Raw genomic sequence first — 18,286 nt, 5'->3', positions numbered from 1 at the left:
GTATATTCAGTTTCTGGTTTGGGCTTATTCCACATAGCCAGTGTTTTCTTGCTGTGTTCCCACATGATGGAAGGGGCAAACAAGCTCTTTAGCCTCTTTTATAAGGGCACTAATCTCATTCATGAGGGCGGAGCCCTCACAACCTAATCAGCTCTTAGAAACCTCATCTCTCTTTTTTTTTCCTTTTTTTTTTTTTGAGACAGGGTCTTGCTCTGTTGCCAAGGCTGGAGTGCAGTGGCGCAATCTCAGCTCACTGCAACCCCTGTCTCCCAGGCTCAAGCGATCTTCCCACCTCACTTACTGAGTAGCTGGGACTATAGGTACATGCCACCATGCCTAGCAAATTTTTTGTATTTTTTTTAGAGATGAGTTTTCACCAGATTGCCCAGGCTGATCTTGAACTCCTAGGCTCAAGCAGTCTGCCCCCCTCAGCCTCCCAAAGTGTTGGGACTACAGGTGTGAGCCACTGTGCCCAGAGGCTCCACCTCTTAATACTATTGCAGTGGGGATTAGGTTTCAACATAGGAATTTTGGGTGGACACCAACATTCAGACCATAGCAGTTATATTATAATTCTCAAAAAACTGTATAAAGATTACATTCCTGAAATTGACGCAGTTTTTTTTTTTTTTGGATTTGATACGTTAAATGTTGGTTGGTGATAACACATCGATTTTCATTATATAGTAGTAGGATGTAGGCATGCTTTGCATTTCCATTTAATGAATTGTTTGTGTTTAAAAGATGTCTTCAGACCCTCCAAGCATATGTGTTTGATACAAGCTTTTTCATATGTGTTTCTTAGAACAGATAAGAATTGTTTCTAAACATCCAAACAAGCCAAGATGGGAATCAGGATTGTATGAGTAGGATCTGATTTTGTCTTTATAGAAGACTTAATCTAAAAGAATTTTCCAAAAGAATTTTCCACAAGGAAAAGCTCTTTGGTTTTTCACTATAGTACTATAATTTTGTTCAAATTGTTATTGAATAAAATAAGCAACAATGACAATATTAGTTCTTGCAGGAGTACTAAATACTATTGGCAGTTATGTTAATGGGTTCTTCCTATTGTTTGTAATGCCTTTTTGTCTTTTATCTGTTTGTGGAATTCCTTTTATTCCTCAAGTTCTAGGTGAAATCTCCATGAACTGTTTCTCTGCCAGGGCAGAGTTGATTGCTTTTCCTCAGTGGTCCCATTATTGCTCTAAATTATCTATTATGGATATAGATATTTATTATGTCTATTATTTATTACAGCCATATAACAGTGTATTATAATGGTATATGTGTCTGTTTCTTTTTTTTCCAGCAGATAGTGAGTTCTTCACGGGCAGAAATAATACCTTCCTCAATTTTTAAATGTAAGCTTCCAAAATAGAACCCAGTATATACCAGGTTCTTTAGTTGGGAAAGTAGACAAACAAAATACAAACAAAATGTTCTGTTGTTCATTTGTAATAATCCCTACTGTTGGGCAAACTTTGATGGTGTAAATAAAGCCAATATGTTTGAAAATTTTATATAGTTCCACTAGATGTAATAAAGAGATTGATTAAAGATCCAACAAGTTAAATTAAACAGTATTACACTTTCGACTGTGCTAATAAGACATTTTTGAAAGATTAGATTATGCTTTATTCTAAGAAAAGACAATATCATGAATCCTGCTTTATTAATACCTAAATATGTTATATCACCTTTGGTTAGTTTTGTGTGGCAGAAAGGATACAGAAAAGTAAGAATAGAAAGAAATTTTAATATGCTGTACTTTTCCCTGTAATTTTGTAAACTCACATTTCATATGTACAATAAAAATAACTCTATACCTTTATTAAAACTTCAATATCTTCATTTATATTGAGAGTGGTAGCAACATAAAATTGAAACCTGAGAGTTGTGAAGGATATAAAGTCATGTTTTAATAGAGAAACTAAATTGCTCCTTCAAAGAGCCTATAAAACTGAAAAGCATTCATTATAAATGTAATAAAAACTTATGAGTTCAATTTTATTAAAACTACACCCAGTTTCCTGGAGGGACTGGATCATTTAGAGGTAAACCACTGATGCTTTATGTCTAGCAGCATACTTTATGTGAGATAAGACATCTACTGAAATGAGGTTGATGGTTTTAACATGATCCCTAATGCACATGCACTCATAAGATTGTAATTTTAACTTTAGCAGAGTTTGCTGCTTTTGATAGTAAATTATTTACTGCTCAAAGCTCCTTCACCAAAAAACAGAATGATAGTGAAAGATAAAGCTTATGCTTCTTCTAATTGGTTTGTTATATCAGACTAACATTCTGTAAACTTCTTACTCAAATCAAATTATATAGGTTAACATTGTTACAGGAGAATAACTTTAGTGATTACCATTGGCTTTTCTTTTTCTATTCAGACATAGTACTGTTTTTAATGTGTTAAGGAGAATCATTTTTAGTTTTGGCTTCTTTTAGTGTTTTCAACTTTTACATATTTCATATTTGATGCTATTTTACATGTTCCACGTACATATTTTAATTAACTGTGGTTGTATTGCTGACAGTGTGTGAAGGTGCAAAAGGAAATTACAGGGAACTGACAGGTTGTCCAGTTACTCTTAGTTTTAGAATCAAAGAACTTTAAATAGAAATACTCGCATACTTAAATGAGAGAATTGAAATATTTGAGTTAATATACATTATATGTAGGCTGTATTTATTTATTCGGAAATGAGGCAGGTTTTTTTGTAAAATGGTGGCAGAATAAAAATGTGTTTATTTCAATCCCTTTCTTGAAACCTACTTCACAAATACATGTAAATTAATGAAAAAAAAATGGACACAAATTATAACAGCCCCACTAGGAAATGCAGTTCGAAAATGTAGTGACTGACATAGCTATCAAGTTCAGTGGAATTTAGTCCATATTGAGGGAGGACATTGGGAGCTGAAACAGTTTTCCAGATCTCTACCTGTTTGTATATATCTCTGAAAATGCATATATTCTCCACTCAAACATTCAATTCAATTGGTAGTTTTTGGTAAATATTGAAGAAGTTTACATTATTTTTGGGAACTTAGAATCTAAAGAAAGAGAAAGATATGACAAGGGCATTATAACTCTAAGGCCAGATATAAGTATGATGGAAGAACAGAGTTCCAGAATGAACGAGTCCTAATAACAGAGGAGAATTGGGAAAAATGCTTCATAAAGGAAGTAGCATTTGCAAAAGTATTGAAAGAAGGATAAGATTTTGGTAGGCAGTTATGGTGGAAAAAGGCATCATTTGTAGAAGTAGCATGAATCAAAGCAGAAATTATCAGGGCGTGTTTAGGGAATAGTTATGGATTCCAGTTTGATTGCAGCATGTGATACATGCTGGAAAGTATGAATCACTGCTTCACAAGGAGCTGTGGTTAACCAGAGTGACCTGGTACACCCATGTTGTAGGAACTTTGAGTTCATTATGTAAGTTGATCCACACAGCAGCCCATAGGGTAATAATAACTGCTTGTACGGGTTAGGAAAATAAGACTCAGAACTTGCTTAAAGTCACTCTGCTATTGAGTAGTTGAGCCAGGAATATGACCGAGAGCCGTTCTGACCTGTGTTGTTACTCACAGTATTATATGATTCTAAGGGCAGATCTGGAGCCATATTTAGAGGAATTGTCACATCAGATCAAAACTTCAGCCAGTTTATGCAGACTAGAGAGAGCATTTTTTTCTTTTTTCAAAATGAGTAAAAGAAAGTCTGTCTTTATTTTCCCATTAGTAATTGCATTCTTGTGTCCTGGAGGACAGGAAAAGAATACATGGCTTCAAAATGCCATCTTTGGAATCCTTGGTGAAAAAGTGTAATTAAAACCCAGATGTCCCTAGATTTAGATTATCTATGTACTCTTCATTCTTCTGTGCAATATTATCTGTCTACTGATTTCTAAATTATATTTAGTCAATGTTTTTTCCTCCTTCTTTGTTATTGTTGCTTACTGTAAGGTATATCTTTGCTTTAAATCCCTACTAATGTGTGACAATTCTAAAGTCTGAAGGAACTTTTAATTTGAAAGTAATTGCCTAGCATCAAGAGTAATTTTCAAAGGAGCAAAATTATTTTAAACATTTTAAACTGCAATTTTAGTCTTTAGAATTAGATGGATTTGTCATTTGATAGAATGTAATAGTATTGAGTGAACACACTGAAAGCTATCGCATTGTATAGTAGTTCTGCTGAGTTTTAAAATATAGTTGTTTTTCCCATCCTTCCAGCTGATACTTCCTTAACTGATGACAGATGGTACTTTGGTTTGTTGAAGCCCAATTCTATGATTATTTTATCTTTGATTGCCTTTTTAAAGACGTATGGAGATATCTTCATCAAATAATTAGCTATATTACCTTGAGAATTATTTTACTATAAATACTTGGTTCATTTTTGTTTTGTTCTCTTCTGTTTGTTTTGAGATGGAGTCTCGCTCTGTTGCCCAGGCTGGAGCACCGTGGCGTGATCTCAGCTCACTGCAAGCTCCGCCTCCTGGGTTCACGCCGTTCTCCTGCCTCAGCCTCCCGAGTAGCTGGGACTACAGGCGCCCGCCACCACGCCCGGCTAATTTTTTGTATTTTTAGTAGAGACGGGGTTTCACCTGTGTTAGCCAGGATGGTATCCATCTCCTGACCTCGTGATCCGCCCACCTTGGCCTTCCAAAGTGCTGGGATTACAGGCGTGAGCCACCGAGCCCAGCCAATACTTTGTTCATTTTTAAAGGAATTTGTTGGCTTATGTGATCGTTGTAAGAGTTGGTACTTCCTCAACCTTTTCAGTATTTTCTGGGCCTCCGATTTTGTAAAATAACATAGCATTAATTCATGATGGCTTTGTGAATATAAGAGGATTCAAGAGAGTTCGTGGAAGTTTAGGGAAACTTCATAAACGAAAAACTGGAAGTAGCTCAAGTCAGCCTCAGTAAGGGCAAAATAAATTGATATACCTATTCAGCGAAATACTGCACAGCTCTGAGAACCAGTGAGTCAATTTTGTATGCCCTGTTAAAGAGTCGTGCCTAAGATATATTTTTACGTTACAAAAATGTAAAACTGCAAATAGTATGAGAGCGTTTACGTAAAGATCTTTAAAGCTATATGGATATATAAACAACAAACGTGCAGTGAAAAATTTTGAAGGAACCATTAACAATGATTATTTATGGGGAAAGAAGCTAGGAAAAATGATTATTTAAATTTAAATCATTTAAATTCTCATATTTTCATTTCCTATTTCGTGAAAGTGCTTTATTTTGTTTCTTCCTGTTTCTCCCACACTCACAATGAGCATGTATTGCTTTTATTAACTAAATAGTTTTTTAAAAAGTCCCTTTTATTTAGAAAATAGTGTATAGGAGACTCTTAGTGTCCTCCATAATCTTTTTGAATGAGACTTCATAATCTCCTAATTTACAATGATTGTAAGATGCTTTAGAGAAAATACCACATTGTTCTAGTTTAACACTCCTAGTGATGAATGGGTCACTTCATTGAATAATTTTTTTTTCTAGTTTGATTTTTATCGTTTGATTCTGGAAATGATGACCCGATCTGAACTTTAGCTGGCATGGCCAGCATGGTATAAAAGGCTAGCACCGTAAAGCATTTTGTTCCTTTTAGGGAACAATATAATCTTTCACATTATTCCAAGAGATTATTTTTCATGATTTTTCCTAAGGTCCCAAATAATCTTAGTTTAAAAATTAAATTTATGGGTGTGGCCCCTTATGCCTATAATCCCAGCACTTTGGGAGGCTAATGTGGGAGGATTGCATGATCCAAGTAGTTCAAGACCAGTCTGGGCAACACAGAGAGATACTGTCTCTATCAAAAACAAAACAAAACAAAACGGTGGATGTGGTGGCATACCCCACCTGTGGTACTAGCTGCTTGGAGGCTAAGGTGGGAGAATCACTTGAGCCCAGGAGTTCGAGGGTGCAGTGAGCCGTGATTGTGTTGGTGAAGTCCCGCCTTGGTGATAGAGCAAAAATAAAATAAAATGAAATGAAATGATAGAGCAAAAATGAAATGAAATGAAATGAAATGAAATGAAATAAAATAAAATAAACAATAAAAATTAAATTTGATTACACAGTCTAGCATTCTATTCATATTTTTCTGATAATTTCTAAAAGTTAAATTTATCATGCTCTGGAAAACACATGGATTTTAGAATCGTCGACACTCATAAAAAGGAACTCATAGGGTAGTCAATGGAAATAAATGAGCTCACATATATAAAGCATCCTGAAGACAGACTCAGTCCGTAATTAGACTTTCAATGAAAATATATGTACATATTTGCTTTTAAAAATAAAAAATCCTTTATAATAAAGTTTCTACACAATAAAAAGATAATGTGGCAATTGATAAAGAGACATGATTGAAATTTTGCACTTTACTTTGACTTCTAGTAGTGTTACCTCCTATATTCTTCCAGTCTATCTCTTTTTTATTCCTTGCAAGTTTATATTTTCAACTTAGTCTTTAGAAGCAGCTGATAATGTCCGTCCAGTTTGTATTGAGATCATAGAAATTGGTATCAGTTGAAACAGAATAGATAAGTTTTGAAAAAAATTTGTTTCTAGCCTCTCATCTAATCTTCCAAAAATATTAATGGGATTTAGGTTTCTACTGTCCTTACTACTTTAAATTTAAATTAGTTTAAATTGAAATTATGTTAATAATCCAATAAACTTAAAATCTTTGTAATTTTATGTAAATATAAATGGAAGCCAAAAATCTATTACTTCCTGCCTCTTTCATATACTTTACAATGTAAGTTTTATGTAGTGCATGTTATTTCATTAAGACCTAACATATTAAATAAATATACTAAATGGTGACAGTTTTAATTGTTATTTTTCAATAGTTTGGTTTTTAAAAACAATTCACTGAAACACATTTCTGCTTATGGAAAATCATCTATGAAAACGATAAGTAAAATTGTTTTGTAATATTTTTGCATAAGTATATACATTGCAAAAAAACTGGAAATTTAGTGTCTACATGTTAGATATGATTATAGAAGTTGATACTGGGTAGAGCTAAGTAGATATGGTCTTGGTAAGTAATTTTGTGATTTCTAATATAAGGTTAGATATAATGCCTACCTCACAGACTTGGTGAAAATAATTTATAAAGGAAATTTTATAAAGCAATACTGTTTTAGGTGTTAATCTTTTATTTAGAAACAAATATTGATTATTGTTTTTATCAGCTCCATATATATTTGACTGTGAAGACATATGTACTATTCATTCACAACATCTATTGAGTACTTGTTGTGGACTGGGGATTGTGGCAGGTAGTGGCTTTTGTGATAAATAAGATGAGGTTCTTAACACTGTTGAAGCTCATAGTTATTGAAGGAGAGGAAGCATTGAAGCAAATAATTATGGTACAAAATTACAAATGTTATAAACAGGTGTAATGGTACAAAGGAGGGGTGGATTCTGCTGGGATCTCAGGAATCTTTCTCAGAGGCTGCTCCTTAGGCAAGATAAATGAGTGTTGACATGACTAAATGGTAGACTGTCATAGGTAGATTGAATATTAAGTAAACATCTACTCCACTATTAAAAGAGTACTAAATGTAGGATGAATACTCAGTTCATCAAATGTTTATTGAAAAGTCACAATAGACAAGTTCCTTTACTAGCTACAGAAGAACTAGAACCCTGAAAAGATCTGGTTCTTGCTCTTCAGGGGCTCACAGTCCTACAGGAGACAGATGTGTGTTCCCAGAGGGCTGTGCCCCAAGGCAGAAGTTGAGTAAAGGTGCTGTAGAAACTTTGTGCCATATGACCAGGCCATGGTATCACTGCCAAATCCCGAAGAGACAGCTGTGACTTTATAAGTAGTTTGGCCTCTGGAATACTGAGTTAAAAGTGGACTGGTCTAAAAGAGCAGAGAAATTTTAAGAAATCAGTAATATTTTACAAATGCATATGTGATATAGTCTTGAGATGTAAGGTCAATTGATGAGTAGGACACAGATTAAATAATGGGAAGTTGACCCATAGCCTGGTCAAAATATGTGTAAATAATAGGTAAAATAAGTAATATTAAAGGAATATAAATTATATCGCTAAAAATACTATTAGCTAACCCAGCTAAAATATCTTAATTAGGTATATCAATTAAAATATGTACTGGAAGATCTCCTATTGATCTTTTAGTTTTTCCCACTTAAATGAAGAGGCTCTTTCTGATTGGCCTCTGTTCTCTCTGGTCAGCATCTCTGGATATTGAGGATTTCCCATTCGGAGGACTATATTTAGCATCCCTTTTCTCCTTAATCCCAAATAATCACTCTTGGGAGTTATAAAACCTGAGTGAAAATAAGAACTATATTTTCTTTAAAAGTCGTTGGAGATGGATGCTCAATGTTTGACTCTGTTTTAAGGATTGTTTCTGGGTCTTTCTTTTTAAATCATTACCACACTTTATCACCGTCAGACAAAAATCACCTCAATTTTATTTTTATTGCGCCTTTAAGATTGTTTATCTATTTATCCATTCTTACTTCACTGATTCTCAGAGTGGGAAGAAGAAGCATCTTAACCCACTGTCAAGAGCATACCTTCTGCCACGCCCTTGTTCTGTTATTCCCTGCTTCCTGCAAGAGCTTGCACAGACACCCATCGACTTTCTTTTGTATTTTAATTTCTTCCCATTAGTCCTCAAAGAGGCTACATCTCCACATACTTCACAAAAGAGAAATAAACAAAAGAGGAAATCCCTCACATTAATCTCTCCTCAATCTTTTCCTTTCTCTCTGTTCTCCCATGTTTGAACAGTTGCTTTTACTCAATATCTCCATTTATGCATCTCTTAGTAATTCTCTGTCCACTGAAGTCTGGCTTCTGCTGGGATCATCCAGAGCTGTCTCAGGTTGCCAAGGACTTCCCAATTGCCCAACTCAAACTCTCCTCAGGGGCTTGATCACTGTACAATCTATGTGATTAGCCATCATTTTTCTAAACTCCTCCCTTACCTCATCAGCTACCACTCTCTTCTTGCCTCTGTAATTTGTTTTTAGTCTTAGTTGTGTCTTCTGCCTTTATCCTGCTTAAAATTGTGGCTATTTGTTTTAGTTCTGCATTTGATCTTCTCTTTGTGTACTTTGCACTCTCTTGGGCAATCATCCCCTTTCTTTGATTAACCTGCCATGTGATGCCCAAATCCAGAGCTCTTGTTTGGGTTTCTCCTGAGCTCTGTTCTCTTGGCTCCATCTGGATGGACAAGGCACTTCATAATTGGTGTGTTCCAAATGTCTTACTGATTTGTATCTGTTGTCAACTATAATTGAGATTGCTATCTTTCAAAATAAACAAATTCACTTAATTTTATTAAGATTAAGTATTTTACACACTAAGTTTTGTTGGAAGAAGCGAAAAGAAAAGGAGTTATGATTGCTGGCCGTTTGGATTGCTCAGTTTTCAGACTAAATACAAATTTGGGGCTTTAGAATAGCAGGAAATAAAAATAAAATTTTTTGAAACTAATTGACACATGATATTTTTAAAAGTCAAAGGAAACAAATGACTTTATTGGAGTTCCTTATACTTATATCATGGTGTAGTATTTTTATTTTAAATATTTGGCCTTGACATTAAATAATATATGGGAATATGAGCTCTCATAATCTCATAATCTTTTCAGGGCATAAAATAATCTGATCAAGGCTGATGAGGGTTATAAAAATATATTGTTATATTCTGTCTTTGATGGCTTCTGGGTGAGTCTGAGAGAAAATTCTCTCTTCCACTTGGGTACATAGTTGATCACCCAAACTCTAAGTGATACCTGATGAGTAAAGGTGTCAACCATAAGGTTGCTCTGTGCCAGTGCGACTTCTGTTTGCTCTCATTACCTTTCGCCAGATTCTGCCTGATAACCACAGATTTCCATGTGGCTCCCTCCTACTCCTGCTCCTGCTTGTCAACAAGCTCTCTCACCTGCGTCTACTACATAGTTCCTGGCTGTAGAAATGGAACCAAGTAGCTTTCTTTTGTAGAATAAATGGACTTATCCTTAACCAGCAATGGATGATTAGGATGGGAAGGTAGGGTGGAGGGATGTGTATAGAAAGAATGTGAAACTTGAAGTGCCCTTTAAAAAAATGTTTTCTTGTTCAGCTCAGAGTAGATCAACTTCTGTTTGGCCTGACTTTATTTCCTAAAGACAGTAACTGGTCTCAAGACATGTTTAAGAGTAAAAAATGCTAGAATCTTCTTACCTTAGAAGCCAGTTTGTGCTACTACTGACCTGTCAGGAGGAATACTTCCATGTCAGGAGGAAGGAATATATCAGTATTTGCCTTTAGGGAATTTGCCTGGAAGAGTACATTAAAAGTCATTCCCAGTCAAGGCAATTTGTTTAGATGTAAAAGCATATAAGTTTTGTGTGTGTGTGTGTGTGTGTGTGTGTGTGTGTGTGTGTGTGTATTTGAGCAGCAGCATTTTACCTTGTTACAGATTTTAACTATCTTTCTGGAAGTATTCTGTTATAGTGAATGTGACTGTAATGTAACAAACAGATTTTACATGCTTTAATGGAATTTAAATTGCTCTGTGAGGCTAAATGAAATAGTTAATCTAGACTTTTGCCTGGGTTTTCTTACCTGCATTTTGGGGGAGGAATGTTCAAAGAATATTTTTTTAAAAAAGAATATCATTCAAAATACAAAATAATATACTGCAAATGATATTAATAAAGGTCATATAACTACATTAGAATGAAGACTTGTAAGCCAGGCTGGCCTTGGAAATAGTTGTGAGTCAGGCAGTATGCTTTTGTTGCTTCTCACCCTTACTATCTCTTTGATGCCTTCTTATCTGCCACTGCAGTGGTCAGTTCTTTCCTATTCCGTTTGCCCGCTCAAAGCAAAAGGAAGAAGTATTATTGATGTTTGCTATGGGTCAGGCTTTTTATTGGGTGTTTGACATATACTGTCATTTAGATGACTGTTAAATTTGTGGCACCAGCTCTCCTTCCCCAGCTGCAAACTTTGTCTATTCAAATTGCCTAGTTAAGATGTTGTAGAATTTGTTTATATCACATGATGTTATACACAAATACCTGCTTACCAACCTACCTTCGTACATACATATTGATAATCCTGTTTTATATAGATAAGCAATATACTCATGTAATGTCAGTGAAAAGTGTGGCTTTTTATGCCAGACTGCTTGAAGAAACTAAGGCTCCAGAGACTGTCACCTGCCCAAGGTCACATATTGTTAGTGACATATTGTAGTAAATGGATTTCGACCTAAGTGTGGCAGACACCAACTTTCACTCTTGCAAGTATTTTTAACCACTTTTCTCTACCTTACGTTCCTATTGTTCTATTGGTGCATAACGGAGTGAAATATTTCTCTTAATTTTGTATTTTTTGTGTTTTATATATACATATATTTTATGCAAAATAAAAATAGTTTTCCCTTCGGACAAATCTAAAAGTATATTTGATAATAGAGGAAGAAGCTCTGTAATATACATTTAGCATGTTGGTAATGCTAGATTTATTTTTTAACTAAAGCCTGAAGGACTAGTAGAATCAGAGAAAACCTTGTTTTTGCTTAGGTGTCATTGTTTACCTTGAGAATGAAAAATAGAGCAAGTAGTTAGAAAGCTTAGAGGAGTTAAAAATAATAACCGTCATGCTGCCCTAGAAATAAAAGGAAATGATAAAGCATATACCTACTAGCTCAGTGATCAGTGATTTTAGCTATTGGTGAGACATTTAATTTAGTGTAAAAAATGGTATGAGATGATGCTGTAAAATGTATATCTGCAGACAATTTTTGTTTCATTATTTATTTTTATATACTGTCAACTGGCCATGTTAATTTCCACTGATAATACAACTGAAATTATCATATCAACCTGTATTTCAGGGACTTTCTCCAAATACACTCAGAGTTGTCTTATAAACAAAACCTTATTATAGTCACACAGAGTTTGAAATGTTAAGGCTAATTTATGAGAGCAGTTTGTCTGAATAAGCATTTAGTCTAGGAAAGGAATCTTTCCTCTTAAAGATATAGTAAGTCTTCTCTTTCTACTCCTAAGCCCTCTATTTCCCATGCCTGGGGTGGGTTGGAGGTAGAGAAAGCACCTTAAGCTAAGTCAGTTCAAGATCATAAAAGCTATGAAGAATGACAATCCTCTGAAGCTTTTCTGTATTAAAAATATCCTCCTTATTCTCTTACCCTTATCTTTGCCCTAGTTCTTTGCTGAAGAATGCCATAGTTTCTTCAGTATTTGTAGAGTTTAGGAGAATGTGGACCAATATTTATTTATTTTTTTTTTCAGGACTTAGGTTATCTGTGATAGGAAAGTTAGAGTATAATCTATGAGTAGAGTGTAAACACACTAAAGAAAAAGCTGTAGAGAAAATAACTGCCCTATTTATTAAGTATTAGTGCTGTTCTTCTGGTCATTAATGTCAAGCTAATTTCTTTTCTGGCAGGCCCTTGTAGTATTTTTTTTTTTTTTTCATTAAAAAAGGTGGGTGACATGAAAGCACTGATGTCTTTTAATAGTTATCATTGATACACAGGCCTCTCAGGCTTCTGACACCACAAAGGCAAAGTTTCTGCTTTTGAGACACATCTTTCTGCCTCTTTTGTCTCCTCTAATTGATTTTGTTATTTTAATTGAAAACACTGGTTTTAAAGAATGGAATTCTGTAGGGCCCTGGTTAGAGAATAGCCACAATAAAAAGTATACATGAATTATCTTATTTCTTCTGAGTGGCACTGTTTGGCTGTGGTGCCTCTAGACCATTCTCTACCACTTACTCCAGTTTGCACTTGAGGGCAGATTTTTCTCAACGGTACTAGTAGGTGCAGTAATGGAGCTGGCTGATGCTATTGGAATGGTGCTTGAACAGGAGGAACTTTTTTATTAGCCATATCTGTAGTTCTGATCTTCCAGGAAGTTAGCTAGTTATAATAATTCCCTTGGCTTAAAAAGATCATATTAGGTAGGAAATCTTCCTATTGAAAAAGATGTTATTCTGTAGGACTAATAGCTAAATAATAAGCTAATATGAGTAATGACACTACTTTGGAGAGTGTCAGTAATACCAAGTTTTTCAAGTGGCCACTCTCTGGGTCCCCTTCCATTGTGTGCAAGTGCCAATTAACAGTTTACCTGTACTAGCTACCCACTCACTAGCAAGTACAAGAAATTAACTCCTCCCAGGACAAAACAAATTACTTCCTTAAACTGCCAGATCCAACTACGATGAGCAGAGCCGTCTAATAAGCTCTTATGGACTGAATGTCTACTCCCCAAATTCATATGTTGAAATCTTAACTCCAAATATGATGGTATTAGGAGGTGGAGCCTTTGGGAGGTAACTAGGTCACAAGGATGGAGCCCTCGTATATGAGATTAGTGCCCTTATAAAAGGGACTCCAGAACAGTCTGTTGCCCCCTTTCTGCCATATGAAGAAACAATGAGAAGAGGTCAGTCTGCAAACTGGAAGAGAGCCCTCACCAGAACTTGACCAAGCTGACATTCTGATCTCAGCCTTCCAAAACTGTGAGAAGTAAATTCCTGTTGTTCATAAGCCACCCAATTTATGGCACTTTGTTAATCGCAGCCTGTACTAAGACAGGAGCACCATGAATTGACTTGAAACATGTGGGATACAGCCTTTATTTAAGCTGTTATTGAAAAAGCAAGAGAGAACTTAAGCCACACTGTGACAGAGACTGTCACAAGCCGTGGAGGGAGCAGGAGCGGTAGACTGGCAAGCTATAAGCACTGACATCTACTTTTCCTCTCCAGAGGGGCTCTGCCAGGAAGTTCCCAACCCTTCCTACTAAAGCTTCTCCTTCTCTGACATATCCCAAATCAACTTGGACTTCTCTATCCCCATGCCCTCCTTTAAAAAACAAAAAATCCATTTTCCCTTTTGGAAGCAATAGCATCAATATGGATGTAAATCTTACTCTAACTTGGCAGTATTTTGACGTACTTAAGGCCTCAGATTCCAGAGCCAGGTTGCCTGGATTTGATTCCCAAATCTACAATTAATACATAAGTGATTTGGGCAGGTGATTCAAGGTCTCTGTGCTTCAGTTTCCTCTGTAAATAACCTGTGTGCACTTTGTCTAGAGAATTAGTTGAGTTGGTATTTGTAAAGCACTTAAAACAATACCTGCCACCTGATAAGCTCCTTTTCAGTGTTTGCCATCATAATGATTATTATTACTTGAAATGTAATTCTAATGACAACGTTCATTCCTTCAATAAATATTTAATAAGAACATACTTTGTGCTAAGCATAGTATTCTGTCTCATTTCCAACAGGCTCCATACTATGAGTAAGGCCAGACACTAACTATAATATAGTGGTTTGAATTCTCGTTACAATACTATGTTTGAAATATAAGAGTGCAATTGGCTTTTAGCTATATATTTTAAAAGGTTAGATATGTAACTTGGGCTTGGGTGGTATTGCCCTGAATATCTGGGTACTCTTTCAAAGTGCCAGCATTATATTTAGTTGGTCCTAAAAGGGAGAGCCTGGTGGCCCTCTCCTTGGGTGGCAGAACTTATGTCTTGTCTATGCAGTTGCTCTGCTTCCTTGAGACCCACTGATGGAAGGGTTAAGACCTGCTTGGCCAGAAAGGGAAGGGCCTAATTTTCTTGCTGCCCACAGACTATTAGAACACCACCACCTTACTCCCATTCTCTTACACTGCTTTGCAACACACACTGTATGTTTGCAGTTGTCCTTGACAACATTAATACTTACTTTGATTTTATTTATACGTTTGCAGTCTTTTCCTCTGTGTAAAGGTGTATTCATTTATGGAGAAAAAGTGCCTACTACTAATTCTATTCCCAGAACTAAGTAGACTAATTTATACTGTACTGGGGAGACAAAAAGGTATTAAAACTTTTTTTTTTTAAAAAAAGCAAGGACGAGGGGGAAGTTACAGAAAATTGTAGGGAAACAGTTTTCAAAAGTAAATGTGGCCTCTTCCTGGTGTTGCCTTTGTCTCATCCTGTCCTTTATACATGAATTCCAGAGGTTCTTAAAGAACTAGGCCGTAAGACTCATTCTTAGATTTTATACTGAAATTGATTACCTCATCAGCATGCCTGATTAAAGTGGAAAGAGGCTGGGCACGGTGGCTCATGCCTGTAATCCCAACACTCTGGGAGGCTGAGGTGGGCGGATCACCTGAGGTCAGGAGTTTGAGACCAGCCTGGCTAACAAGGTGAAACCCCGTTTCTACTAAAAATACAAAAAAATTAGCCAGGCTTGGTGGCACGTGCCTGTAATCCCAGCTACTCAGGAGGCTGAAGCAGGAGAATCGCTGGAACCCTTGAACCCAGGAGGTGGAGGCTGCAGTGAGCTGAGATCGTGCCATTGCACTCCAGCTTGGGCAACAAGAGTGAAACTCCTTCTAAAAAAAAAAAATTGAAAGATATGGTTCTAGATGCTTAAAAAAATTGAGTGGAATGATAGGCATATATTAGGCAGAAAAGAGGAACAATGAAGGCCAAAGTAGACATAAGGACATGAATAGTCCCATGGCTATAACTGTATTTGTGACAATCACATGCCCGCAGCATATACATTGGTGTCACTGTCTGTCTGTGCAGTCTTTCCTTTAGAAAAGGTTAATTACAGCCTTTCTTTGCATCATGGACACCTTTGGTGGGAATCTGCTATACCCTATACAACTCTTCTCAGAATACATTTTTAGATGCATAAAATAAAATATATGTTATTTAAGAGGAAACCAGTTTTACTGAACTCATTTAGCAAAATACTTTAAAATTTGTGATGTTATTATATATTTGTTTCTTCATAATATATTTAAATGTATTAAGATGATCTAATAACACTGGGCCTATAAACAATCATAGTTTCAAAGTAGTGTAGTGTTGAAGGTAAAAAATATTTCAAGATATGTAAAACAATGGGAATGTGATATGAAAATAAATCAGATTTCTGTTGGTGACCAAGTCATAGAATTTAAAATAAAGCATATTTCCCTACATGTCCAGAAGCTAAGCAAGCTAATTACTCATATCTGTTTATACTTCTCATGTTATTTCATCTAAAATGCTTATATCCATTGAGATAAAGATTTAAGTGAACAAAGTGGTTGGACAGTAATTCAAAAGGATCTGGCAGATAGTTTGCTCTAATCTCCTTGCTATTCTTTTCATTAGGTTACAAAAATTTTAGTTTTCTGTTACTGTTCTAATCTACAAGAATACTTGTAGGTTAAAGTGAGTTTTCAGCTTCAGTAATTTTTGTTTACATAATATATTTTTGTGGTTAATTGTTAGGTTCTTTTTATCCTTTGAGGTAATATGCTCACAACCTGTAGATTTGCTTATTTTGCCAACACTTTCAGACCTTCAGTCCTCATGCCTCCTGACATCTGGAATTTCTCCGGGTATATTTTATTTCCAGTTTCTAAATGCAATGAACATATTCAGACATAGTAAGAAGGAAAAGGCCTATGAGTTACGGGTGATTGCTTTTATGTATTAATGGTGTCCATGGAGGGTCTCATTAACACACACAGCATGAGGAATTTTTGCAGCTACCACGTAGAGCTGAAAAATCCAACCACAGAGTAGATTTGATTGTTTATGTCTCAGTATTTTTGTTTGGAGCTTTAGAGGACATTAACAAAACTTCTTGGGACAGGTGGAATGCCATATGGCATAGGGACTGGACCACTGCCATAGCTTTAGAGATTTATCAAAGCTTCTCCTTCTAGTGGGAATGATATGAGTCTCTTGGACTGCTTCCATTCAGTGATGACATTCATGTACAGATCAGCAACAAAGGTACTTTAATAACAAAACAAAACAGTAACTATCTCGAAAGAGATTTCTTGCTTTTGATAGGGACTGAAGGAGAGCATCTTTATTAGCAGGATATTTATTGGATTCAAAACTTTTTTATACTTACTAACTTATTACATAAAATTCATACAAATACTGTTGTGCAGTAATTTGAGGGTGGGTTGGGTGACGTAGTGGTTTCTATGCATTGAATACTCCTAAATTCAGATTTTATGCCTTCTGAACACACAAATGCACACACACACACACTTTTTAAACATCTATGGGTAGTTCTGAATGGTGGCATTACCTCTGAGTGGCAGTGTCTGGGGTCTGCTGTAGGTAACAACAGAAGTCAGGTTTCTGTTGCACTTGTGACATTTATAGCAAACTTCCTTTCCACAGTGTTTTTTGACCAACTTTGAGGTGGGGTGGGAAGAACTGCTTTTGTAGTACTGGTTGCTACAACTGCTTCTAATGATCTCTAAGTAGTAGTGAGACCAGAAGCTCTAGAGAAGAAAAAGGCAAGGGAAGTTCCTTTCAATGCTTGAGAGAGAAAATGGATTGCATCCTTGTTTAATAGAATATGGAGAAATTGAATATAATTGTCACTGACTTCAAATTATCAATATATATGTACTTTGGAATACTACACACAATTCATTCTGTACAACATAATTTTTGTAAATGATGATACCTTTCAGGGTGTCATTTTAGATGGAAATTGGCACCTTAAATATTTTAAGGTGAAGATTAAAGAATATAGAATAACATTTGCTTATTGACTCATTTCCATTATTTTCCCCCCTATTTCTCTTTGATTCTTATGATATAATTATAATTTTTCTCTAGAGCACCCTGGAGTATTCTTTGATTCTTCATAGCTGCTCATATATCTCTAATAAAGTAGTAAACCATAGTATGAAAAAATTATATTTCATTGAATATAAAATATAATAACTACTACTTATGGATACTTTCTATTTCCATAAATGAGCTGGATAACTTATATTGTCCCTATTATTGTGACGACAGTGCAAACTAGGTGTTATTATTTCCATTTTATAAATGCAGAAAATGAGACCAAGAGAAATTAAATAACTTCCCAAGTTCTTACAAATGTACCTAACAACTGGCACAACTGGGTTTTAAAAAGCCGTTATCAGTTAAATTCCAGAGTGTATGTTCTTTCTTTTATGCCTGAAATATTTGTCTTTTGTTTTATGTCAGATATTTCACAGGGATTCATAGTTTCTTGATTGAGGCATTTTGCCCCTTTGAGTTAAAGGGTCTCGATGAACTACAAATATGCCTTGTGGAAGACTTAACAACAACAACAACAAAATGAGAGAAGTCACACTGCTAATGAGAAACAATGTGTGATCTAGGAAAATGCCAACCCAACTTCTGACT

General features: G+C 35.5%; 1 protein-coding gene and 1 long non-coding RNA gene across 26 annotated transcripts in view, besides 1 other annotated feature; both read left to right on the top strand.

Moving 5' to 3' along the window:
* Positions 1-18,286, top strand: part of IMMP2L (inner mitochondrial membrane peptidase subunit 2) — an 899,849-nt gene that overhangs the window by 360,581 nt on the left and 520,982 nt on the right. The window lies entirely within an intron of this gene.
* Positions 1-18,286, top strand: part of LOC124901725 (uncharacterized) — a 71,230-nt gene that overhangs the window by 41,651 nt on the left and 11,293 nt on the right. The window contains exon 1 of the long non-coding RNA XR_007060477.1: positions 1-18,286. This exon is cut by the window's left edge and continues 41,651 nt beyond it. This is a non-coding gene — a long non-coding RNA (uncharacterized LOC124901725).
* Positions 8,446-9,084: an enhancer, noted in NCBI's record as "OCT4-NANOG hESC enhancer chr7:110832884-110833522 (GRCh37/hg19 assembly coordinates)". NCBI's record gives its function as "activates a minimal SCP1, AML or CMV promoter by ChIP-STARR-seq in naive H9 embryonic stem cells {active_cell/tissue: H9 hESC(naive)}" and the evidence as "EXISTENCE:reporter gene assay evidence [ECO:0000049][PMID:30033119]".

The sequence above is a fragment of the Homo sapiens genome, chromosome 7 (assembly GCF_000001405.40).
Source record: "Homo sapiens chromosome 7, GRCh38.p14 Primary Assembly".
Classification (NCBI taxonomy): domain Eukaryota; kingdom Metazoa; phylum Chordata; class Mammalia; order Primates; family Hominidae; genus Homo; species Homo sapiens.
Note: the sequence above shows the minus strand (reverse complement) of the source record. Positions and strands in the feature narration are given on the sequence as shown.